The following is a 27,511-nucleotide window of genomic DNA, read 5'->3' on the forward strand; positions in this document are numbered from 1 at the left end:
AGATGTTCATTGCAGTGTCTGTATGTATATCTTAACCACTTTTGAGCTATTGCCATTTTTGCTGCTATGTGTATGTATATATATAATTGTCCCCTTCTTTAAAATGTCCTGTTTTTTTCAAAACTAATTTTTCTGTGAGTTTGTCCTTCGTGTATAATAGGAACATGTAATGTATAAAAATATAAACATAATTTTATTATTAAAGTACTCAGATTTTTGGTGTCTATCAGCAGCAAAGTGGTAGAACACAGATACTGTTGAAGCTGTGCATTTGCTTCTGACAACCGGATGAAGCAGATGAAGGAATTGTTGCAGCTTGTGTGCACCTCACTTCTAGCCATAGTTGCAGATTAGTGTGCAAACATAGGATCCTAGAAACTATGGAAAAAGCTTCATTGAATTAAGTGAAAATCTCCTCATGTTTCAAAAGAATAAAAAATAAAATTTATACAGGCAAGAATTCAGTAGAACAATTTGTATAAGAACAAGCTGCAGCCCAGTACTCCTATTTGTTGACATCAAATAAAGGGGAGACTATTTGGAATTCTGAAATGAGCTAACCTCACTCTGCAACTTGATATTACTGAAATGGTTATTAGTGAGTTGTAGTGGGTAGTGCAGAAGAAACTAATGTTTGTTGAGTGCCTTTATGTGCCAGGTACTTCAAAACTTTGTTTCACTAATCCTCATAATGACTCCGCCAAGTAGGTATTGTGAGTTCTGCTTTACAGGTGAAGAAAGCTCATGGAGTTAAGTAACATGACCAACCATAGCATGGTGCCTGACATACAGTAAGTGTTTAATGAATATCTTTTGAATACATGGTAGGTACCTAACTAATGGAAGCAGTATTCAAACTTCGATACATCTCATTGCACAGCTCACACTATTTCCATCATAGTATATTGCCTTCTGTGTAAGACTATACAGAATCATTTTTAAATGGCTAAGAAAGAGCACTGCCAGTGTAAACATGGCTAGTAAGCCCAGCAACCTATTTCTCCCTTTATATGAGAACAATTTCAATTTCAAAATGTATGCATTGTGAAGGATGAGAAAAGACAGAAAACAGGATCTTCAAGGGCTTTACAGTTACTTAACACAGCTAGTACATGAAAATAACATAAATATATATGAAAACATCGTATGTGTATGGAACATTTTATTAGTACAGCTCATCCATTTTTTGTTGAGTTCTACTGACTTTTTAAAATTTATTTTACTTTAAGTTCTGGGATACATGTGCAAAACATGCAGGTTTGTTACATAGGTATACATGTGCCATGGTGGTTTGCTGCACCTATCGACCCGTCATTTAGGGTTTAAGTCCTGCATGCATTAGGTATTTGTCCTAATGCTCTCCCTCCCCTTGCCCCCCACCAACAGGCCCTTGTGTGATGTTCCCCTCTCTGTGTCCATGTGTTCTCATTGTTCAACTCCCACTTATGAGTGAGAACATATGGTGTTTGGTTTTCTGATCTTGTGTTAGTTTGCTGAGAACGATGGCTTCCAGCTTCATCCACGTCCCTGCAAAGGACATGAACTCATCCTTTTTTATGGCTGCATAGTATTCCATGGTGTGTATGTGACACATTTTCTTTATCCAGTCTATCATTGATGGGTATTTGGGTTAGTTACAAGTCTTTGCTACTGTAACATCATCTGAAATGTGTTACTTTAATTTTATGTTAGGTGTTACGTCTCTTTTCCTTTTTTGTCCCACACATCACTGAAACAGATTATTTGAAAATGCTAAAATAAGTAAAATGTGCGGCATGCTTTCTTAGATGCTTTGTCTCCTGTACCAAAATAATTTACAAATACAAAAGTTGGAAATAATTTTATTAGTTTTTTAATGCATAAATCCAAACATATATATGTACTGAATATTTTATTAGCTAATACAGTACCATTTTAAAAATTCTACCAACTTAAACTATTTCCTGTAAAAACATCATCCAAAATATACTTTGTTAATTTTTATGAATGTTATTTTTTTAAGTCTCTTTTCTTTGACGCTCTCCTTTTTTATCCTGTGCTTACACCAAAAACAAATTATTTGAAAATGCTAAAATAAAATGTGGCATGTTTTCTTAGCTGTTATGTATTCTGTTATAACATTTTACAACTATTAAAGTTGAAAAATAACTTTATTGGTTTTGCTGCATATAGCTGCCTGTCTGCTATAAGAGAACTAATCTATAAAATTAAGGCATTTTGTTATTTCAAGTGTAGAGGGGCAAGAATGTAAGGGAATTATAAAAACCCCAAGATGACTCATTTAAAGTAGATGCACATTAAAATACTATAGATCTGGCATATTTCATATTTATAAAGCAGACAAAAAGAATGTTTATCTTTGCATTTGGCAAGAGTATCTATCTTCAAGATAACTACCACTTTTCAAAGCACTATTGTTGGGTAGGTTTTATTAGGGGAGAGGACTTAGAAAACATGACTTTCCTCATCCAAAACCAAAAATAAATGAGGGCTTAAAAATATATTATTTAAGAAGATGATAGTGGCCAGAAATAAAGACCATGACCAACAAGCTTTGGGGCCATCAAGATGAAAAGCCGTTTGCTTTATTCAAGATCTAGGATCTGAAAATCTCACTTCATAAATTTAACTGGATTTTCTTTTCTGATTATGTTTAACCCCAAAATTTGGTTGTATACCATAGCAGTTTCTATTTTACCTGGATGTTAAAAGAAAAACCATTGGAATCTAAAGAGAGATGAATAACCTCTTGAGCTTAGATGGAGAACTAACCAGTGGCAAATATGTATCTAGTGGGGTAAATACATCTCAAGAGATTCAAAACGTTACAAAACAAGGTGTTTTTAAAAACACTTCAACTTGAAATTATAAAAAAAAAGTATTAAAAGGTATTAGAGATCTTTCTTAAGGGCTGGTGAAATAAAAACACCTTAAAAGACACACTGTTACAATTTGCTCACAGAGGTAAAGAGGTTGTGATCAGTATCAGCATTTTAAGGATGTCATTTCAGAGCTTGCGTTCTTCTCCCTTAAGTGGTTCAAAGAGTTTGAGCAGGTACACTCTGGTACTAGGGAAAATCTGAAGCAATTCACCTAGTTGGATGAAAAAGGACTTACGTACCCTTGATTTATTAAAATTCATTGTTCTTTTATATACATTTTTCTTTAAAATTCTGAAATGAACATTTGTTTATGCAGTATGACATGAATGATTTAATAACTTATATGACAAGCTTAATAAGGCTGACATTCAATGAACAGAAAAGTAATTTACCTTTTAGTAATCAGAGAAACTTTCAATCCATTTTTATCTTATTTTTAAGTGTCTGTTATTAAAGCTTGTGATTTTTATTAATGTAAATAAGCCAAAGGGTGATTGTTTTTGACACACCACATTGTGCCATAGTGTAATGGGTAGTTTCCTTCTCAGTTAACCCTCAATACTCTGTACACACTATTCTGAAATACTGTGGTGAAGTAAGGCCTGGCATCTTTGAGCAGGACGCTACATAAGGGAGGGTTAGCTGCATTGGAAGGGTCTTCCACATCACAGATTTCAAGCATACTGCAACCAGGCCTGAAAAAAGACAGACATATATATCCATATTAGAAATGTATTCCTGTCTAGAGAAAATAGATACATAACACAACATCTAGATTTTCAGAGACAAATTTATTTCATAAGTTAAATATTTTAAAGCGTCATTTCAAAAAACAATTTCAATGTTTAGAAATTTAAAAAATAGAATGAAATTAAGCATGTTGCATTTTCACATCTCATTTAACCAAATGAAAGACATATCCTAATAATAAAGCTTCAATATACATTCATAAATATATATGTAAAAGCACACTTTCAAGATGAAACAAACATAAATATAATTTCCAAGTGCCATCACCATCTAAACATAAGGCCCATTTGTAGTAAAATAGACAAATTAAAACCTAATCGAATTCCTGATAAATTTAACATTTTTTAGCATAAACTGCCTTGGATTAGCATGAAATGATCCAAGGCAGGGACAGGAGACTCTTATGGCAATTTGTTTTCTTCAATGCTTTCCCATTTTGGGTGGCTCTATGACTGGGCTAAATGAGACACTTTCCTCCCTAGAGAGTAATCCTGGATGGCAGTCATTAAAGGGAAGGAGTCAGACAAAATTGATTTCTAATTTTTTAACATCTATATTGAAGTATAAGTTATACACAATAAAACTTCACCTATTTTATGTGTAAAGTTTGCCAGGTATGGGCAAATGTGTATAGATGTGTAAGCACTACCACAATCGTAATACAGAAAATTTCCATCACTCCCACAAGTTCCCTGTGCCCTTTTGCAATCTACCATCTTCCCCAAACATGGCCTCAGGCAACTACTGTACTTTCTGCGCTATAGTTTTCTTTTTCTAGAATTTCATATAAATATATTATGTAGTCTTTTCATTTTTGGCTTCTTTACCATAGCATGTTTTTGATACTCATATCTGAGCTGTAGTTCCTACAACTTCTGTTGTGGTTCAGTAGTTCCTTCCTTTTTGTTGCTAAATAATATTTCATTGTATATAGAGAACACAATTTGTTTATCCATTTGCAAGTTAATGAACATTTGAGATGTTTTGAGTTTTTGGTGACCATGAACAATGCCACTATAAACATTCATGGACAAGGCTTTTTGTGGACATATGTTATCATTTCTCTTAGGGAAACACCTAGGAGTGGAATTGCTGGGTTGCATGGTTATGTATGATTAAGTGTGGATTTATCTTTATAAGCAAGTTCAAAACTGTTTTCCAGAGTAGATGCACCATTTTCCATTTCCACCAACAATGCATGAGAGTTTAAGTTGTATCAGTTTTTGTAATTTTAATCATTATAGTATGGTTATGGATGATTCAAAATATCTTCTTTGGTGAAATTTCTATTCAAATATTTTGCCAAATTTTGTGTTGATTCTTATTGAGGTGTGAGAGTTCTTTGTATATTCTGGGTAAAAGTCTGCCAGATTTTTTTTAGCAGATGTATTAAGGCGTAATTGCTCAATAATTACTCAATAAGCTGCACATATTTAGTATCCACTTGGATACATATTAACATAGGTATATACTTGTAAAACAGCAGCCACAATAAAAATCATGAACATATCCATCTCTCCCAAAAGTTTACTTCTGCCCTTTTGTAATTCTAATTATTGTGTGCTTTCTTTTTTGTCTGGCTTCTTGTCCTCAGTAGAATTATTTTGAGATCCATCCATATTGCTGTAACAATAGTCCGTTCATTTTTATTAGTAATATTTACATTGTTTGGATATTCTAATAGTGTGTTTATACATTCATCTGCTGATAAATAAGCGGATTGTTTCCAGTTTGGGGCTAATACAGAAAATAAAGTGCTATGAACATTTGTGTACAATTACTGGGATGGATATATGCTTTCTTTTATTTTAATAAATACAGTAGTTGTATGTTTAACTTTTTCTAAAATTGCTAAACTGTCTTGCAGAGTGGTTGTACCATATTACTTTTGCACCACTGGTGTATGAGAGTTCTAAGTCCTCCATAGTGTCAGCAACACTTGGCAGTTTTTTTTTCAATTATAGCTATTTTATTAAGTGTTTAGTTACATCTCACTGTAATTTTCATTTGCATTTCACAAATCACTAGTAACATCAAGCATCTTTTTGTGTGATTATTTGCCATCTGTCTTTTTGTCCTTTTTTTTTTTTTTTTTTCCTGAGACAAGGTCTTGCTCTGTCGCCGAGTGGAGTGCAACGGCACAATCTCGGCTCACTGCAACCTCCGTCTCCTGGGTTCAAGTAATTATCCTGCTTCAGCCTCCCGAGTAGCTGGGATTATATGCCCCCACCATCACGCCTGGCTAACTAACTTTTTGTATTTTTAGTAGAGATGGGGTTTAGCCATGTTGGCCAGGCTGATCTCGAACTCCTGACCTCAGGTGATCCACCCGCCTCAGCCTCCCAAAATCCTGGGATTACAGGTGTGAGCCAACTACTGCACCCGGCCTGTTTTGTCCATTTTTAATTGGGTTGTTTTCTTATTATTGGGTTTTGAGAGTTTTTAATACATCTAGAGAAAGTCCTTTATCAGACATAGGCTTTGAAAATATTTTCTCCCAGACTGTGGTTTATCTTTTAATTCTTCCTAACACTGTTTATAAAAAAGCAGAGGTTTACAGTTTTAATGAAGTCCTATTTATCAATGTGTTCTCTTGTGGATCATGATTATGTTACTGTATCTGAGAAATCTTAGCCTAATCCAAGGTTACAATAATTTTCTTCCATATTTTCTCCTAGAAATTTTATATTCTTAGATTCTTAGTAGCAAGTTACCTTCTACTCCTAGTTTGCTGAGGGTTTTTAATCAGTTATGGATACTGAATTGTGTCAAATACTTTTTCCTGAATGTACTGAGAGGATGATGCGTGATGATGCGGTCTTTCTTTTTCAGTTTGTTACTATGGTGAATTCACCTGATTGGTTTTCAAATAGTGAGACAACTTTGCATTCCTGGGATAAACTCCACTTGCACATTATATATTGTCTTTCTTTAATATATTGCTGGATTCATTTGTTGCAATTTTACTTAAAAATTTCACATATGTGTTCATGATAAATTTTGATTGGTTGTTTCCTTTTATTGTAATGTTTCTCTCATGTTGGTATCAGGATAATGCTGACCTCACAGAACCAGTTGGGAAGTAATCCCTCCTTTTGAATTTTCTGGAATAGTTTGTAGAATTGGAATTATTTCCAGTGAAGATATCTGTCTTAAAGTTTTCTTTGTGACAATTCTTTTTACTACAAATATAATTTTATTAATAGATACAAGGTCATTCATAATAAGGTAATAGATATAAGATTTTCTATTTCTTAAGTGAGCTTTGATTTTGCACCTTTCAAGGAACTTGTCCATTTTATCTATTTTGTCCTACTTAGTGGAATAAAGTTGTTCCTAAAATTCCCTCATTATCCTTTTCATTTCTTCAGATTCCTGTAGTGATAAAATCTTTCTTATTCCTGATACTAGTAATTTCTGTCTTCAATCTTTTAGTTTGGGTAGGAATTTATCAATTTTATTAATCTTCTCAAGAATCAGTGTTTGGTTTTACTGACTTTTCCCTGTTTTGGGAGGAAATACACACTGATTTTGATTCTGATCTTTATGCTTTCTTTTCTTCTCCTTACTTTGGAGTTTAGTTATTCTTTTTTTTCTAGTTCCTTAAGGCGAAGCTGAGTGACCGATATGAGGCCTTTCTTCTTTTTCTATTATGGGCATTCAACATAAAAACAAATCTCTTACTGCTGTATCTGCATCCCACAAATAGCGGGATGGTGTTCTCATTTTCCCTTAGGTCAACATACGTTGAAACTAACCCTCCTTTTGTTTCTTCTTGACCATGTATTATCTGAGTGTATTACTTAGTTTCTAAACATTTGAGGGAATTTCCATATAGAATTCTGTTACTGATTTCTAATTTAATTTCATTGTAGTCAGAGATTGTACTTTACATGATCTAAAGTATTTTAAATGTGTCAATACTTGCTTTGTGGCCTAGAAAATGGTCTTTTTTGATAAATAGTCTGCGTGTGCTTGAATGTCTATTTTGCTGTTCTAGGGTGGTGTGTACTATAAATGTCAATTAGGTCATATTGGTTGATGGCGTCATTCAAGTCTTCCACATTCTTGCCAAATTTCTTTTTATTTGTTCTACAAATTATTTAGACATGGCTATTAAAATTTCTAACTATACTGTAGATTTGTCTATTTTTTCCTAAAGTTCTATCAGTTGTGTTTCATATTTTTGAAGCTCTCTTATCTAAGTGCATAAATGTTCAGAGTTGCTACATCCTCTTGAAATATAGATCCCTTCTTCATTTAAAATTCCTTGTTTAACCTTGATAATATTCTTAGCATTCAAATGTACTTTGATGTTATTACAGCCACCCCAGCTTTCACTGACTAGTAGTAGCATCACATGTCCTTTTCCTATCTGTTAACTTTTAACCTCTTCGTTTCTTTATATTTAAGTAAATTTCTTGAAAGTAGCCTATAGTAGGGTCTTGCTTTGCTATGCAATCTGACAATTCTTGGTTTTCATTTGTGGTGTTTAGAGCTATATTCGTTTCCTATTGCTGCTATAACAAATTACCACAAACAGTTGCTTAAAGCAACATATATTTATTCTCTTTCAAATTCTGGAGCTCATAAGTCTAAAATCACGGTATTGGCAGGGCTCCAATCCTTCAGGAGGCTCTAGAAGAAAATCCACTTCCTTGCCTTTTCCAGCCCTAGAAGCTGGCCTCCTTCCTTGGCTTGTGGCCTTATATCACTCCAACTTCTGCTTCTACCATCACATCGCCTTTTTGATCTCTTACTCTTTTGCCTCCTCCTTATAAAGACTTTGTGATTACATTTGTCCTACCTGGATAATAAGGATAATATCCACATCTCATGAGCATTAATTTAATCACATTTGTAAATTTCCTTTTTCCATGTGAGTAACGTAATTCACAATTTCTGGGAATTAGGACATGGCCATCATGGGGGGCTCATTATTCAGCCTACCTACCACAAGTCCATTTACACTTAATGTCATAATTAATATGGTTAGATTTAAGTCTGTCTTCTCGGTGTTTTCTCTTTGTTCCATCTGATCTTCATCTCCCTTTTCCACTTCTTCTGCCTTATTTTGGATTGAGTGATTTTTATAATTCCATTTTAATCTTGTTTGTTGCCTTTTGCATTCTGTCAATTTTTGCTTCATATATTTTGAAGTTCTCTTTTAAGTTCATATGCACTCAAATTATTGTATCTTTCTGCTGTACTGAACTATTTTGCATTATAAAACATAGTCATTTCTAGTAATATTCTTTGTCTTAACATCTATCTTCTCTGATATTTATACATTTTTCACTTCAGCTTTTCTAATGTTTACTCACATGATATCTTTTCCATTCTTTTTCCTTCAGCCAATATACATATCTATCTGTATTTAAAATGCACCTCTTGCAGGCAGTCCATAGATAGGTTTTGCTCTTGTATTCAGTTTGCCAATCTCCACCTTTTGTTTGGAAGAATTTAGTCCTCTTTCACTTTGAAATTACTGATATGGTTTGATATAGGCTTGCTATTGTGCTCTTTTGTTTTTTTAAAAAAACTTTTTATTTCAAGACATTTGGAGATCCACATTAAGTGAGAGATAATACAAGTAGCTCTTGTACAGTCTTTAGACAGTGTCCTCCGCCATGGTAACATCTTCAACATTTGTATAATATCACAGCCAGATAATTCACATTGATAGAATGGTGATAGAGAGCATTTCCATCACCACAGAGATCCCTTGTATAGCCACACATACTATACTCCCCCCATATTCCTACCCCACCCTAACCCCTCGCAACCACAAATCATCCATATCTATAATTTTGTCATTTGAAGACAGTTATACAAATGGAATCATACAGTATGTAACCTTTGGGGATTGTCTTTTCTTCATTCAAACAATTCTCTGGAGATTCATCCAGGATCTTGAGTGTATCAATAGTTTGATCCTATTGCTGAGCAGTATTCCATGGTATGAATAGATCACTATTATTTAATCATTCACCTTGCGAAAAACATCTGGGTTGTTTCAGGTTTAGGCTATTACAAATAAAGCTGCTATAGACATTTTTCTACAGAATTTTGTGTGAATATAACTTTCCACCTTTCTGGGAAAAAATGCCCAATACAACTGCTGGGTCTTAAGTTAGTTATATGTTTAGGTTTTTTCCCCTTTTAGTTTTAGTTGACAAGTAATACTTGTACATATTTATGGAGTATAGAGTGATATTTCAATGCATAATTACAATGTGTAATGATCAAATAAGGGTAATTAGGATATCCATCACCACAAATGTTTACCATCTGTTTGTGCTAGGAACATTCAAAATCCTCTGTTCTGGCTTTCTTGACATATAAAGATAAATTACTGTTAACTAATATTCACTCTACAGTGCCAGAGAGCACTATAACTTATTCCTTCTATTTATCTGTAGTTTTGTATCTCTTAACCAACCTCTCCGTATCTTCTTCTCCTCCCTACCCTTCCCACTCAGCCTTTAATTACCACAATTCTACTCTACTTCTATGAGCTACTTCTTTGAGCTTCCACATGAGTGACAACATGCACTATTCATCTTTCTGTGGCTGACTTATTTCACTTAATGTATCCAGGCTCATCCATGTCTAGGCTTGCCATTATGCTCTTTTTTTCCCCACTGTTTTATTTATTTTTTGAGTGGTTTTGATAGGGATGACAACAAGCATCTTTAACATATCATGATTTACTTACCATTTAAATTGGGTTATTTCTAGTAAATCGTACATTTCCACAGTTTACTCAATTTTTGTGCTATTGTCATGTATATTTAATTTCTGTCATAAACTAAAAAATATAATGGTATCACCTTTGCCTTAAATAATGTCTTTTAAAGATTTTCAGAGAAGAAAAACGTATAGTGATTAATATCCACATATTTACCATTTCCAGCGCATCACAGTATTTCTTGTATACCTGAGTTACCATCTGGCATCATTTCTCATCAGCTGATAGAACTTCTTGTCCATCTTGAAGTATAAATCTGTTACCAACAAATTATCTTAGATTTTGTTGATCTGAAAAATATTTTTGGCCTCCATTTTAAAAAGATACTTTCATTAAATATAGAATTGTTGATTTTTCTTCTTCAGCACTTTGAATTATCATTCCAGTGTCTGATAATTTCCACTATTTATGTTGGGAAGTCAGATGTTTATATAGCATATAATTTTTTTCTCTTATTTTCAAGATTTTCTCTTAATCTTTGATTTTACCGTTTTGACTATAATGTTCCTTGCTTTGGTTTTCTTTGGGCTTCACCCAGTTGGATTTGTTGAGCTTAGCAGATCTCTCAGTTAGTAGCTTTTATCAAATGAGAAATTTTTGGCCAACATTTCTTCAATATTTTTTCTGTCATGTTCTTTTTTTCATTACATCTAATACTAAAATTATGCATGTGTTGAACTACTTAATGTTACATAGGTCTGTGACTTTGGTTATTTTTCAATCTTTTTGGCTCCTGTTCTTTTGATTAACTATTCTCTCTTGATCTATCTTCAAATTCACTGCATTTTCTGTTCAAATGTTCTGTTTTCATCTCAGAATTGTTGAGTACATTTAAATGATTTTCATTTCATTTATTATACTTTTCAGCTCTAGAATTTCCGTGGGGGCTGGAGTGTTTCTATTTCTCTGCTGAGATTCCATAGCTCTTCACTAATGGATACCATGTTTTCTTTTAATTCATTGAATACATTTTTCTTAAGCCTTTGAATGTATTTGTAATAGTGGCTTTGCAGTCTTTGGCTGCTAAATCCAACATCTGGACCTACTTGAATCGGTTTCTATTAACTTATTTTTTTCAGAGTATTGTTCATACTTTCTCATTTCAGTTTGCATCTCTGAAACCTTTTGCACATTGTAAATGATATACTGAAGTGACTGTAGAACCTGTTTTGTTCTTCTGATTGCCAATGTGTCGTTCTAGGAGACAATTAATGTGCCTGAATTTCCTGTCATGTGCAGCAGCTAATATCTGTGCTTAGGAGTCTAAACAAAGTCCTCATAAGATCAATTACACATCTTAGAATTTTATGATTTTTAGAGATTCAAAATTCAGAAATTAAAAAATTTTAATTAGGAATGTTTTCCTTATGTCATTTTGGGTTTTGTCACTTTTCTTTTAAGTCTTATAAATCCAATATAATTCAGCTATAATACAGAATGCCAATATCTCACTTTGCTGTAAATTCAAATCCATATTTCAGATATCTAATAAAAATTTTCATAAATATTTCAAAAATTATGAAAAAAGCTAAGTGGAAGATGTTAAATTGAAAAATCAGGATATTAAATATACTATAATGTTTGGAATTAAATTCTACTTCATTGATAGTATAGTTTTACGTCCCTAGATGAAATAACTTAAACTAAGGTACCAGGATATTATTTTAATAAATTTAAAATAAAAATTCTTAAAGAATCAGGACTACTGTAATAAAGTGAAACATTTGTTGCTCAAAAATGTACCATATCAGATAGCATAGGGTTAATACTCACTTAGTTCTCACAACACACCATGCCTCTTCTAAAACATAATAATTCACATGTAACTCCAACAATTTCTCTCCTACTTCTTTGGCAGATTTTCGACTATATGTAGAATAAACTATTTTTGTCCGAGCCCTTTAAATTTAAACAATAGTTTAAAAGATTTTAAAATAAATGATAATAGAATAGACTAAAAAAATCTTACTAGCAAATTGAAATCTCAATACTCACTGGATGGAACACTGATATACATGACTCAAAACAGCATCAACTATTTTGGGGATGGCAGTTTCCACATTCCTACTTATATTTTGAATGTAATAAAACTTACAGCAATTTAATTTTGCATATACTGCTCATTACTGTATAAGATAGTCTAAAGTTGTACTGGGTAGCAGAGAGCAGCTTAGGATATACAGTTTTCTTCTCATAATTCACACAGTTTTCAGAGAATATATTCTGACAGAGACTGAATGTAGTGAAAACACATCTTTCAATGCTTAATTTCATCTAAAGAAGCTCTGACAAATAAATGAATTGAAATTTAGTGTATCAAGTAGAACACTTAGACAATGGACATCCACGGTATCAGAAGAGGTAGGAAAAGCACCTTCACAGAATCTTGAGAAATGGGGATGGTCACCAAAATATGGTACAATAGGTGATTTGACCGTAGTGGGAATTCTTACAAAATCCTGACAAACTATCACTTATGCATTGGATGTTGCTTAGAATTTCAAGCATATGGGATGCTCAGTCACCACAGTGGTTTCCATGCCAGTTCACCACAGTAGAACAGAGAGAGCATCAGGTACACTTCTAAGGTGTCTGACTCCAAGCCCTGGCTCCTAGACAGAAGACCTAAAACTTTTAAATAATTTAAACATTTGCCTCTAACAATAGGCCAAAAATCCACTTTTAAAAATGATTACCCTGACAACTACTAGAATAACCAAAATAATTTTTTAAACCAGCCATTTAAGGAAAGCAAAACTTTTAGACATCAATGGAAACTAGAGTTCTCATAATCGACTAGCAAAAATACTCTAAATTTTCATGAAAGCACGTACTATATAATAGCAACTTTCATGTACTTTTTCTACCTGTCACAAAAAGCTAGTCATTGGCCACCAGTAAGATCTAGAAATCATTTCTTAAATCAGAGTGGGGCTTGTGGTGTAGAGCAGGGGTTGGCAAACCATGGCTGTGAGTAAAATCCATCCTACCTACTCTTCCAACTACCTAGTAGTTTTACTGGAATACACGCACACATCATAAATATGTGACACATTTGTCACTTTGGAAAAAACTGGCTTTTGCATTTTTCAGTTTTCAGAGGTCTGCTTGCTCCAGAGGCAACAGGTACATATTGTCATTTCTGGATGGTTATTGTCATTTTTTTTTAACTTCCAGTACGAAAATGAGGATGAGTTTGTGTGTGTGTGTGTGTGTCTGTGTGTGTGTAAAAATTTTCCCAATTCCTAAGAATTGGGAGTCGCCAAGTGAGTCTTGAAGAAATACTCATCAGCTGCCAACCTCAAGTCTGCATCTTCGTAAAGTGGATGATTCACAATGGGATGAAGTGTAGACAGCTTGACGCTTGCCATTGTAGGCATGGCACCTGCGAAGACAGCATCTGAAAAAAAAGGATATATTCTTCAATTAAATGTATTAAAGAAACTCAGAAGTTAAACTTACCTCTAATATGTGAACCCAAATTAAGAAGGATGATGCCTATTTACATGACCATGGACCTCATTCTTTTTATTAACTCAATAGTTATTCATTATCTACTACAATAATAGCTGACTTTTGTTAAATGCTATCTTGGTGATAGAAATTGTGCTCCATATTTTAACAAGAAATAACTTAATTTTCACAATTCTAAGGGGTAGGTCCTCTGTTCTTACTTTGTAGAATCTACAAACTGAGCATGTGAGGGGTCTGGGTTGTGCACTCATTAGAATCTAATGCCTGATGGTCTGAGGTGGAACAATTTCATCCAGAAACCACCCCCTACCCCCCAGTTCTGTGGAAAAAAATGGTCTTCCATGAAACTAGTCCCTGGTGCCAAAAAGGTTGCAGACTGCTGTTGTAGATGATGAAGAGACACAGCCAAGTTAAGTGACTTGCCCAAGACTGCACAGCTAGGAAGTTCCAGAGCCTGCCCTCTTAGCTGTTTCACTAAAGCTTCCTGCTATGCTAGAGCACCATGCTAACAGCAGGACTACAGACACACATGAAACAAAAAGAATGTAAAATGTCACATCTGTTCCAAGAATGTGAAATGCCAGGAGCTGAGAGACTGCCATGAAGGGCAAGTCTCATGGGACATTTTTTCCAATGACTTTTGTGGCTGGTGAACTGTAGTCCTGTGGATGTGCCATAAAAAAAGGAAAACATTGTTTTCTTCCCTCAGATCATCTTTAATTAAGTTCTCAGAGTTACCATTTGACTTGACACCATTTATACATGTCATGAAATCATTTCACTACTTGCTAGTAGTACTTTTTGGAGTAATAACATGTATAAATTTGGTCATAACTAGACATACATCAAAATCTATCTGGCTTCCATTTCATCTCTTGAAATATCAGAAGACCAAATGCTTACTTCCTGGTACTTTTGTATAAAAAACAATTATAGTGGGAGTAGCCAAGATGGCCGAATAGGAACAGCTCTGGTCTACAGCTCCCAGCGTGAGCGACGCAGAAGACGGGTGATTTCTGCATTTCCATCTGAGGTACCGGGTTCATCTCACTAGGGAGTGCCAGACAGTGGGCGCAGCTCAGTGGGTGCATGCAACGTGCGCGAGCTGAAGCACGGCAAGGCATTGCCTCACTTGGGAAGCGCAAGGGGTCAGGGAGTTCCCTTTCCCAGTCAAAGACAGGGGTGATGGACTCACCTGGAAAATCGGGTCACTCCCACCCGAATATTGCGCTTTTCGGACCGGCTTAAAAAACGGTGCACCACGAGATTATATCCCGCACCTGGCTCGGAGGGTCCTACGCCCACAGAGTCTCGCTCATTGCTAGCACAGCAGTCTGAGATCACACTGCAAGGCGGCAGCGAGGCTGGGGGAGGGGCGCCCGCCATTGCCCAGGCTTGCTTAGGTAAACAAAGCAGCCTGGAAGCTCGAACTGGGTGGAGCCCACCACAGCTCAAGGAGGCCTGCCTGCCTCTGTAGGCTCCACCTCTGGGGGCAGGGCACAGACAAACAAAAAGACAGCAGTAACCTCTGCAGACTTAAATGTCCCTGTCTGACAGCTTGGAAGAGAGCAGTGGTTCTCCCAGTACGCAGCTGGAGATCTGAGAACGGGCCAACTGCCTCCTCAAGTGGGTCCCTGACCCCTGACCCCCGAGCAGCCTAACTGGGAGGCACCCCGCAGCAGGGGCACACTGACACGTCACACGGCAGGGTATTCCAACAGACCTGCAGCTGAGGGTCCTGTCTGTTAGAAGGAAAACTAACAAACAGAAAGGACATCCACACCAAAAACCCATCTGTACATCACCATCATCAAAGACCAAAAGTAGATAAAACCACAAAGATGGGGAAAAAACAGAACAGAAAAACTGGAAACCCTAAAATGCAGAGTGCCTCTCCTCCTCCAAAGGAACGCAGTTCCTCACCAGCAACTGAACAAAGCTGGATGGAGAATGACTTTGACGAGCTGAGAGAAGAAGGCTTCAGACGATCAGATTACTCTGAGCTACGGGAGGACATTCAAACCAAAGGGAAAGAAGTTGAAAACTTTGAAAAAAATTTAGAAGAATGTATAACTAGAATAACCAATACAGAGAAGTGCTTAAAGGAGCTGATGGAGCTGAAAACCAAGGCTCGAGAACTACGTGAAGAATGCAGAAGCCTCAGGAGCCGATGTGATCAACTGGAAGAAAGGGTATCAGCAATGGAAGATGAAATGAATGAAACAAGTGAGAAGGGAAGTTTAGAGAAAAAAGAATAAAAAGAAATGAGCAAAGCCTCCAAGAAATATGGGACTATGTGAAAAGACCAAATCTACGTCTGATTGGTGTACCTGAAACTGACGGGGAGAATGGAACCAAGTTGGAAAACACTCTGCAGGATATTATCCAGGAGAACTTGCCCAATCTAGCAAGGCAGGCCAACATTCAGATTCAGGAAATACAGAGAACGCCACAAAGATACTCCTCGAGAAGAGCAACTCCAAGACACATAATTGTCAGATTCACCAAAGTTGAAATGAAGGAAAAAATGTTAAGGGCAGCCAGAGAGAAAGGTCGGGTTACCCTCAAAGGGAAGCCCATCAGACTAACAGCGGATCTCTCGGCAGAAACCCTACAAGCCAGAAGAGAGTGGGGGCCAATATTCAACATTCTTAAAGGAAAGAATTTTCAACCCAGAATTTCATATCCAGCCAAACTAAGCTTCATAAGTGAAGGAGAAATAAAATCCTTTAGAGACAAGCAAATGCTGAGAGATTTTGTCACCACTAGGCCTGCCCTAAAAGAGCTCCTGAAGGAAGCGCTAAACATGGAAAGGAACAACCAGTACCAGCCGCTGCAAAATCAAGCCAAAATGTAAAGACCATCGAGACTAGGAAGAAACTGCATTAACTAATGAGCAAAATCACCAGCTAACATCATAATGACAGGATCAAATTCACACATAACACTATTAACTTTAAATGTAAATGGACTAAATGCTCCAATTAAAAGACACAGACTGGCAAATTGGATAAAGAGTCAAGACCCATCAGTGTGCTGTATTCAGGAAACCCATCTCACGTGCAGAGACACACATAGGCTCAAAATAAAAGGATGGAGGAAGATCTACCAAGCCAATGGAAAACAAAAAAAGGCAGGGGTTGCAATCCTAGTCTCTGATAAAACAGACTTTAAACCAACAAAGATCAAAAGAGACAAAGAAGGCCAGTACATAATGGTAAAGGGATCAATTCAACAAGAAGAGCTAACTATCCTAAATATATATGCACCCAATACAGGAGCACCCAGATTCATAAAGCAACTCCTGAGTGACCTACAAAGAGACGTAGACTCCCACACAATAATGGGAGACTTTAACACCCCACTGTCAACATTAGACAGATCAACGAGACAGAAAGTCAACAAGGATACCCAGGAATTGAACTCAGCTCTGCACCAAGCGGACCTAATAGACATCTACAGAACTCTCCACCCCAAATCAACAGAATATACATTTTTTTCAGCACCACACCACACCTATTCCAAAATTGACCACATACTTGGAAGTAAAGCTCTCCTCAGCAAATGTAAAAGGACAGAGATTATAACAAACTATCTCTCAGACCACAGTGCAGTCAAACTAGAATTCAGGATTAAGAATCTCACTCAAAACCGCTCAACTACATGGAAACTGAACAACCTGCTCCTGAATGACTACTGGATACATAACGAAATGCAGGCAGAAATAAAGATGTTCTTTGAAACCAACCAGAACAAAGACACAACATACCAGAATCTCTGGGACGCATTCAAAGCAGTGTGTAGAGGGAAATTTATAGCACTAAATGCCCACAAAAGAAAGCAGGAAAGATCCAAAATTGACACCCTAACATCACAATTAAAACAACTAGAAAAGCAAGAGCAAACACATTCAAAAGCTAGCAGAAGGCAAGAAATAACCAAAATCAGAGCAGAACTGAAGGAAATAGAGACACAAAAAACCCTTCAAAAAATTAATGAATCCAGGAGCTGGTTTTTTGAAAGGATCAACAAAATTGATAGACCGCTAGCAAGACTAATAAAGAAAAAAAGAGAGAAGAATCAAATAGACACAATAAAAAATGATAAAGGGGATATCACCACCGATCCCACAGAAATACAAACTACCATCAGAGAATACTACAAACACCTCTACGCAAATAAACTAGAAAATCCAGAAGAAATGGATAAATTCCTTGAGACATACACTCTCCCAAGACTAAACCAGGAAGAAGTTGAATCTCTGAATTGACCAATAACAGGATCTGAAGTTGTGGCAATAATCAATAGCTTACCAACCAAAAACAGTCCAGGACCAGATGGATTCACAGCCGAATTCTACCAGAGGTACAAGGAGGAACTGGTACTATTCCTTCTGAAACTATTCCAATCAACAGAAAAAGAGGGAATCCTCCCTAATTCATTTTATGAGGCCAGCATCATTCTGATACCAAAGCCGGGCAGAGACACAACCAAAAAAGAGAATTTTAGACCAATATCCTTGACGAACATTGATGCAAAAATCCTCAATAAAATACTGGCAAAACGAATCCAGCAGCACATCAAAAAGCTTATCCACCATGATCAAGTGGGCTTCATCCCTGGGATGCAAGGCTGGTTCAATATACGCAAATCAATAAATGTAATCCAGCATATAAACAGAGACAAAGACAAAAACCACATGATTATCTCAATAGATGCAGAAAAGGCCTTTGACAAAATTCAACAACCCTTCATGCTAAAAACACTCAATAAATTAGGTATTGATGGGACATATTTCAAAATAATAAGAGCTATCTATGACAAACCCACAGCCAATATCATACTGAATGGGCAAAAACTGGAAGCATTCCCTTTGAAAACTGGCACAAGACAGGGATGCCCTCTCTCACCACTTCTATTCAACATAGTGTTGGAAGTTCTGGCCAGGGCAATAAGGGAGGAGAAGGAAATACAGGGTATTCAATTAGGAAAAGAGGAAGTCAAATTGTCCCTGTTTGCAGATGACATGATTGTATATCTAGAAAACCCCACTGTCTCAGCCCAAAATCTCCTTAAGCTGATAAGCAACTTCAGCAAAGTCTCAGGATACAAAATCAATGTGCAAAAATCACAAGCATTCTTATACACCAACAACAGACAAACAGAGAGCCAAATCATGAGTGAACTCCCATTCACAATTGCTTCAAAGAGAATAAAATACCTAGGAATCCAACTTACAAGGGACGTGAAGGACCTCTTCAAGGAGAACTACAAACCACTGCTCAAGGAAATAAAAGAGGATACAAATGGAAGAACATTCCATGCTCATGGGTAGGAAGAGTCAATATCGTGAAAATGGCCATACTGCCCAAGGTAATTTACAGATTCAATGCCATCCCCATCAAGCTACCAATGCCTTTCTTCACAGAATTGGAAAAAACTACTTTAAAGTTCATATGGAACCAAAAAAGGGCCCGCATTGCCAAGTCAATCCTAAGCCCAAAGAACAAAGCTGGAGGCATCTTGCTACCTGACTTCAAACTATACTACAAGGCTACAGTAAACAAAACAGCATGGTACTGGTACCAAAACAGAGATATAGATCAATGGAACAGAACAGAGCCCTCAGAAATAACGCTGCATATCTACAACTATCTGATCTTTGACAAACCTGAGAAAAACAAGCAATGGGGAAAGGATTCCCTATTTAATAAATGGTGCTGGGAAAACTGGCTAGCCATATGTAGAAAGCTGAAACTGGATCCCTTCCTTACCTTATACAAAAATCAATTCAAGATGGATTAAAGACTTAAACGTTAGACCTAAAACCATAAAAACCCTAGAAGAAAACCTAGGCATTACCATTCAGGACATAGGCATGGGCAAGGACTTCATGTCTAAAACACCAAAAGCAATGGCAACAAAAGCCAAAATTGACAAATAGGATCTAATTAAACTAAAGAGCTTCTGCACAGCAAAAGAAACTACCATCAGAGTGAACAGGCAACCTACAAAATGGGAGAAAATTTTCGCAACCTACTCATCTGACAAAGGGCTAATATCCAGAATCTACAATGAACTCAAACAAATTTACAAGAAAAAAACAAACAACCCCATCAAAAAGTGGGCAAAGGATATGAACAGACACTTCTCAAAAGAAGACATTTATGCAGCCAAAAAACACATGAAAGAATGCTCATCATCACTGGCCATCAGAGAAATGCAAATCAAAACCACAATGAGATACCATCTCACACCAGTTAGAATGGCAATCATTAAAAAGTCAGCAAACAACAGGTGCTGGAGAGGATGTGGAGAAATAGGAACACTTTTACACTGTTTGTGGGATTGTAAACTATTTCAACCCTTGTGGAAGTCAGTGTGGCGATTCCTCAGGGATCTAGAACTAGAAATACCATTTGACCCAGCCATCCCATTACTGGGTATATACCCAAAGGACTATAAATCATGCTGCTATAAAGACACATGCACACGTATGTTTATTGTGGCATTATTCACAATAGCAAAGACTTGGAACCAACCCAAATGTCCAACAATGATAGACTGGATTAAGAAAATGTGGCACATATACACCATGGAATACTATGCAGCCATAAAAAATGATGAGTTCATGTCCTTTGTAGGGACATGGATGAAATTGGAAATATCATTCTCAGTAAACTATTGCAAGAACAAAAAACCAAACACCGCATATTCTCACTCATAGGTGGGAATTGAACAATGAGATCACATGGACACAGGAAGGGGAACATCACACTCTGGGGACTGTTGTGGGGTGGGGGAGGGGGGAGGGATAGCATTGGGAGATATACCTAATGCTACATGATGAGTTAGTGGATGCAGCGCACCAGCATGGCCCATGTATACGTATGTAACTAACCTGCGCAATGTGCACATGTACCCTAAAACTTAAAGTATAATAAAAAAAAAAGTAAAAAAAAAAAAAATCTTACATTCCTTCTCATGTTAATAGTTATTATTTTTTAAATATGATGCTATTAGCAAATTTTAGATTGGCATCCTTAATACATTAGTTAGATGTTAGTAATTCCACTTTTCCCTATAACTGTATTTTTCTTTTTAATCAGAAATCAATCTTGAGTTTTGTTCAATAATTTTATGATATTTATTCTGATTTTTATATTACTTTCTATTAATATATTGGTAAGTTTTTCTAAGATTTTCCATATGTTTATCTGAAAGAAGTTCTGTAATTTTCTTCACTGTTGCCATTATCAGATTATATATCAGATTTACAAAAGTTTTGTTAAAAATTTCGTTCCCCCCCATTTTTCTATGTCATTGAACATTTTGTTGATATTTCACATTTCTTGATTATTGAAGGAAATCTATAAGTCCATTGCTTGTAAATGTTTTTTTGGAGGGAAGTTACTCTTTTTTAGTAGATACTACATTGTTATTGCTATATTCACCTATTAAAGTTAAATTATCTACTTTATTAAGACTTAAATATCTATTTTAAAAAAACCTTAAATCTAAGACCTCAAACTCTGAAATTACTACAAGAAAACTTTGGGGAAACTCTCCAGGACTTTGGTTTGGACAAGGAGTTCTTGAGTAAATACCTGGGAAGCACAGGCAACCAAAGCAAAAATGAACAAATGGGATCACATCAAGTGTAAAAGCTTCTGCACAGCAAAGGAAACAATCAGCAAAGTGAAGAGACAACCCAAAGTATGGGTGAAAATATTTGCAAACTACCAATCTGACAAGGAATTAATAACCAGAATATATAAGGAGCTCAAACAACTCTGTAGGAAAAGAAAATCTAAAAATCCACTTTAAAAATGGGGAAAGGATCTGAATAGACATTTCTCGAAAGAAAACATACAAGTGGCAAACAGGTACATGAAAAGGTGCTCAACATCACTGATCATCAGAGAAATGCAAATCAATACTACAGTGAAATAGCATCTCACTCCAGTTAAAATGGCTATTACTCAAAAGACAGGCAATAACAAATGGCTGTTATCCAAAAGACAGGAAAAGATGTGGAGAAAAGGGAACTCTCATACACTTTTGGTGAAAATGTAAATTAGTACAACCACTATGTAGAAGAGTTTGGAGGTTCCTCAAAAAACTAAAAATAGACTTACCAAATGATCCAGCAATCCTACTCTTAGATATATACCCCAAAGAAAGGAAATAAATATTTAGAAGAGGTATCTGCACTCCCATGTTTATTGCAGCACTTCTCACAATAGCCTAGATTTGGAAGCAACCTAAGTGTCCATCAACAGGTTAATGGATAAAGAAAATGTGGTACATAGAAACAACGCAGTGCTATTCAGACATAAAAACGAGTGAGATCCTGTCATAAAAAAAAGAATGAGATCCTATCCATTAACATGAATGGAACTGGAGGTCATTACATTAATTGAAATAAGCCAGGTACAGAAAGACAAACTTTGCAGGTTCTTACTTATTTGTGGGAGCTAAAAATTAAAAGAGTTGAACTCATGGAGATCAAGAATAGAATGATGGTTACCAGAGGCTGGGAAGGATAGTGAGGGGGTGGAGGGGAAGTGAGGATGGTTAATGTGCACCAACAAAATAGAATGGATAAGATGTAGTGTTTGGTAACACAGAAGGGTGACTGTAGTCAACAAAATTTTACTGTACATTTAAAAATAACTGAGAGAGTATAACTGGATTGTTTGTAACACAAAGGATCAATGCTTCAGGTGATGGATACTCCATTTACCCTGATGTGATTATTACACATTGTATGCCTGTATCAATGTATCAAAATATCCCATCTACCCCATAAATATATACACCTGCTCTGTACCCACATAAATTAAAAACTTTGAGAACCCTGAGAGTTTACTTTCCAGTATAACTAAGCATTCTAAATGCAACTTTGAATGAAAATTTCTTTATATGCCTCAAATTTGAAAATATGTAAGCTAGTCAAAGAATGTGTATTTATTATTGGAGACTCAATAATTAATGATGACAAGCTGTTAAGCTAGAGAAGTGGTTCTCAGGCAGGCATGATTTTGCTCCCTAGGGAGCACTATCAACTTCTGGAGACATTTTTCGATGTCATGCTATGGGGAGGAGGGAGGAGATGCTGTTGGCATCTTGTAGATAGAGGCCAAGGATTTCTTGTAATACATAGGACAGCCTCAATGTCAACTGTGCTAAGGTTGGGAAATGCTGAGTAAGAAGAATTGAAAGCCCAGGGCCAGGGTCTTCCAAAAAAAACTAGGCACACCTGTCCAGCAAGAGCTGGACCCAGTGAGTTGTCACCTATGGCAGACAGAGAGGAAGAAATACCCTCCCACTCCACTTTCTATCTTTTTGGCTGTGAAGTAAATGAGCATAACAAGGAAAAATCAGATATTTTCCTATCACTGTATGGAAGTCTCCATTTAGCCTACTACACAGATTAGAAAAAGGTATTCCCCTGACTTGACAGAGCCCCATTATACCTGGCTTGATGAGTGGACCACAAGCTGGATTTAAGCTTTCACTTATCCTCTCAATTGGTCACCTTTGTGCAGTGCACAAACTATACAACCGTATATGGCAGACCTCAATATAAGCACTAGTTCCACTAATACTACAAAACTTCCTACAGCTTTTAATATGTGGTAACCATGAGATAACTCACAATAAGAGTAATTAAAAGGAGAATAAGACAGATTGAAAAGAAGATCAAAGACGAGGCATCTAAAAGTGAGACAGGGGTTTGTGGCAGTTATCTTAGAAGGATAAGTTGCCAAATGTAGGCTCTCTGTCAGGAACCCAATACAAACACCGGAACAAAGAAAGACACAAGAAAAGATTAAAAGGGCAGCTATTTTTAAAAGCTTGGGAAAAATAGCTATAACTGGGGAGGGGCAGGCAAGGGAGAGTAAAGAAAGGGAGTGATTACCTTGAGCTCCTATGTGGAAAAAGTCAGCTGGGGATTACTTTTAAAATTCTAATTAAACTGGCTTGGCAGTTTAATGAGGCACTGTCACCTACACCCTTTGAAAGCTATAGACCAAATATCTTACTTAAAGCTTATAAAGATTTACCTTAATGAAGGTTAATTAGCAAAAAAGTGGCTATCAAATAAGAAATAAAAGGAAACAAGCTCAGGAGTCATAAGAAAATTTAAATAAATCATAGTGAAGAACTTGTGCCAGAGTAAGTTTCTAAATATCAAAAATAATCTTTGATTTACAAATTTAGTTACAGAAAATGTTATAGACTTATTCTCTGGAAAGGTATTTAAAAATATCTATCTGCTTGAGGTAGTTCTGAATAAAGACAGGAAGAAAAGAAGGTAAGCTAAAAAGAAAATTTTGGAGTATTTAAAAGTAGGATGTATAGTATCTCTGTGAGATGATTTAGTGAAGAAAATAGAATATCCAAGATTTTAACTCTTCTGCCAATGACCTGTTTTACAGAATTAGAGGAGACAGCACTGATGGGAGTGACAGAAGCGGTGCCGGTTAACTCCCCACCATCAAAAGTATCTTCTGCTGTAGTCTGGCACAAGGTGTGAAATTTCATTTTTAAAGATTTACTTCTTTGATTTGTCATTGTTATGGTTAAAATGCTATAATGCTGTCTGAGAGTTAAAGGACATAACTTGTGAAAAATCATTAATTTCCTGGTGCTGATTTAAATTCTTTGATAATTATCTGGGAGGGGCTTAAAGGGGGTGCAAAATTGCCTTTTGGAAGGGTTTAATTGATTGACATTGCAATAGTCTGCTCAAAGTCTGTGAGAGTATGAATGCCTATCTGTAAATCTGTCATACATACATATATCAGAAATGACAATAATTATATATAGTATACACAAATGTGTCTGTATGTTTGTATAAAACTAGCATATAACCAAATACCTACACACCTGATGTGGTATTGTATTTGATCCACTGTAAAAGTTCTTCCTGAGGCAAATTATTAAATTCTCCTATTATGCTCCATTGATTACGGAGGTTTGCATAACCTTGTATTGACATCACTGTTAGAATGCCAAAGATAACATTATCAAAACGAACTCTGCGAAAAAGCCAGCCAAAGAGCTGAAACGAAAGAAACCATTTATTTCTAGTTCTTATATGAAGAGTACTATAGGGTCAACAATAAATTCTCACCTTGTTACTCAAACCAACGTGAATTACCCTTTGATATCAGCACACATGTATACAGAATTATCATCTCCGATTGTTTCTAAAGCAACGGATATATTGGCATTACAGGGCCCAGGTGAAAATGGGACTTTCTCTCCCCTGGGAAGAATTAAGGAAGATATACCTGATCCTTCTAGTACTAATTTACTACTAAGGATTAAAATAAACAAATCACAACTGTGAAACATCTTAGAACTAAATCCTTTCATCCTTGGCTGCCTTTTGTGGACATGGTTAGTAGACAGGGAAGCCCTATTAGCATGATATATATAGATTCTTCTCAGGAAAACAGGCATTATGATATTTTAAGGCTATACACTCATAATAAAAACTAAGTGAGGTGTTTGTAGAAGTACCTTAGGCCCAATATTCTAGCAATTTATCTAGTTCTTTTGTATGTTAGATAACACTGATAGAACCCCAGAATTTCTTATAGATTCTTCAAGCCAAACAGGACCATATTAGGGCAATTACTCTGCATCTACTCTGGTATTGGATGAGTATTTCAGGGTACTTTTGGTGAACCAGGAAACTCTTTTTTTTTGAGACAGAGTCTCACTCTGTCTCCCAGGCTGTAATGCAGTGGTGCAACCTCACCTCACTTCGACCTCCACTTCCCGGATTCAAGCAATATTCCTGCCTCAGCCTCCTGAGTAGCTGGGATTACAGGCACACACCACCATGCCTGGCTAATTTTTGTATTTTAATAGAGACAGGGTTTCACCATGTTGGCCAGGCTGGTCTTGAACTCCTGACCTCAAATGATCGCCCACCTAGGCCTTCCAAAGTGCTGGGATTTCAGGTGTGAGCCACTGTGCCTGGCCACCAGGAAACTCTTTTTTTTTCTTTTTCTTTTTTTGAGACAGAGTCTCACTCTGTCACCCAGGTTAGAGTGCTGTGGTGCGATCTTGGCTGACTGCAGCCTCTGCCTCCCAGGTTCAAGCGATTCTCCTGCCTCAGCCTCCCAAGTAGCTGGAATTACAGGTACTCGCCACCACACGGCTAATTTTTGTATTTTTAGTAGAGATGGAGTTTCACCATGTTGGCCGGGCTGGTCTCAAACTCCTGGCCTCAAGTGATCTGCCCATCTCGGCCTCCCAAAGTGCTGGGATTGCAGGTGTGAGCCACTGTGCCAGGCACTCTTACACAAACCTGAACTCTAAAAGGTTGTGTTCATGGACAGGATATTAACAGAGGGGAAATGTTTGCCTAATCACTTGTTATAGAAATATCAATTAAAATCCAGAAATACTTTTCAAAGCCACTTGAAATTGCTTTTCTTGCTTATAGTGAATCATGAAGTAATATTTTAAATCATTTAACTTAGTTAAGTTAAAAACACTTAGTGTGTTTATATTTTGAATTAGTCAGCAAAGCCACGGTAACTACTAAGTATAGCTGCTATAGTTTTTATAGTATTGTTATACAAGAATGAATCCCTTACCTGTCGAGAGCATATCAAGGAAGCCATAACACACATGTGCAGCGTCAAAAACATCTTTAGCCTCATAATTAAAATGGCAAGGGCAGTAAACGCTAACAACTGCAATGTGTGAAAAGCCAGCTATAAAAACACAAATAAGACAAAATCACATTGTTACTTTTCATATTTTTAAATTAATGAAGTATATTAAAACTATATTATTCATTAAGACAAGGATCTTCTAAGTAATAAGCCTATCAGTATTCATTCAACAATAATTTATTGAATGTCTACTATGTTCCAGGTACTCTTCTGGGTGCTTCGGATACAGCAGTGAGCAATTTCTGTCCTTGTATTACATTTAACTACATTTAGTAATGAAAGACAATACATAGAAATAACAAATAAATAAATCCATTACATAGTCTACTGTAAGGCAATAAGTGCAGTTGGCAAGAAAATGGAGCAGGCAGAGGAGCTAGGGAGAGCAGGAGGTGGTGTGAGGAGGTGGAGGACCAACACAGTGGGCCTCACTGTAAAGTGACAAAGTTACTAATGCATCCCTGATCCAAAAATCTGAAATCTACAATGCTCCAAAATCTGAAACTTTTGAGTACCAATATGATGTTCAAAGGTTATGCTAAAACAAATGCTCATTGAAGCATTTTGGATTTTGGATTTTCAGGTTAGGGATGCTCAACTAGTAACTACATTGTAAATATTCCAAAATTCAATAAAATCTGAAATCTGAAACGCCTCTAGTCCTAAGCATTTTGGATAAGGGATACTCAACATGTGTCATAAACTATCTCTATTAAGTTCAAATTCAGTTACCCACTCCTGTAAATTTGACCTTTACCTCAAGACCCACTTAAAGTTCTATCAAATAGGAAATATTTCCAGCCCACACTGATCTTTTCCTTTGTATGCCACAAAATAATTTTACACCATATAAAATGTTGTCTTATTTGTCTCCTTTGTAAAATTACACATACTGAAGGGCAGGAACATGACTTTAGTATCTTTTGTATCCTTCAACACTTCTGAGCTTG

The 27,511-nt window shown here is 36.2% G+C and overlaps 1 long non-coding RNA gene and 1 pseudogene across 3 annotated transcripts in view; one reads left to right on the top strand and one right to left on the bottom strand.

The window, feature by feature from the left end:
• LOC105375228 (uncharacterized) overlaps window positions 1–27,511 on the top strand; it is a 74,297-nt gene that overhangs the window by 41,378 nt on the left and 5,408 nt on the right. For both annotated transcript variants that reach the window (XR_001745162.3, XR_001745164.3), the window contains exon 2: window positions 24,303–24,394. This is a non-coding gene — a long non-coding RNA (uncharacterized LOC105375228). The remainder of the gene's footprint in view (window positions 1–24,302; window positions 24,395–27,511) is intronic.
• The window catches only part of DPY19L2P1 (DPY19L2 pseudogene 1), a 106,187-nt pseudogene continuing 80,501 nt past the window's right edge, over window positions 1,826–27,511 (bottom strand). Inside the window, exons 18-22 of the transcript NR_002833.3 lie at window positions 26,481–26,600; window positions 24,754–24,928; window positions 13,684–13,783; window positions 12,157–12,282; window positions 1,826–3,577 (exon numbers count right to left, since the gene is read on the bottom strand). The product of NR_002833.3 is annotated as a DPY19L2 pseudogene 1 (transcript). The remainder of the gene's footprint in view (window positions 3,578–12,156; window positions 12,283–13,683; window positions 13,784–24,753; window positions 24,929–26,480; window positions 26,601–27,511) is intronic.

The sequence above is a fragment of the Homo sapiens genome, chromosome 7 (genome assembly GCF_000001405.40).
Source record: "Homo sapiens chromosome 7, GRCh38.p14 Primary Assembly".
Lineage (NCBI taxonomy): Eukaryota > Metazoa > Chordata > Mammalia > Primates > Hominidae > Homo > Homo sapiens.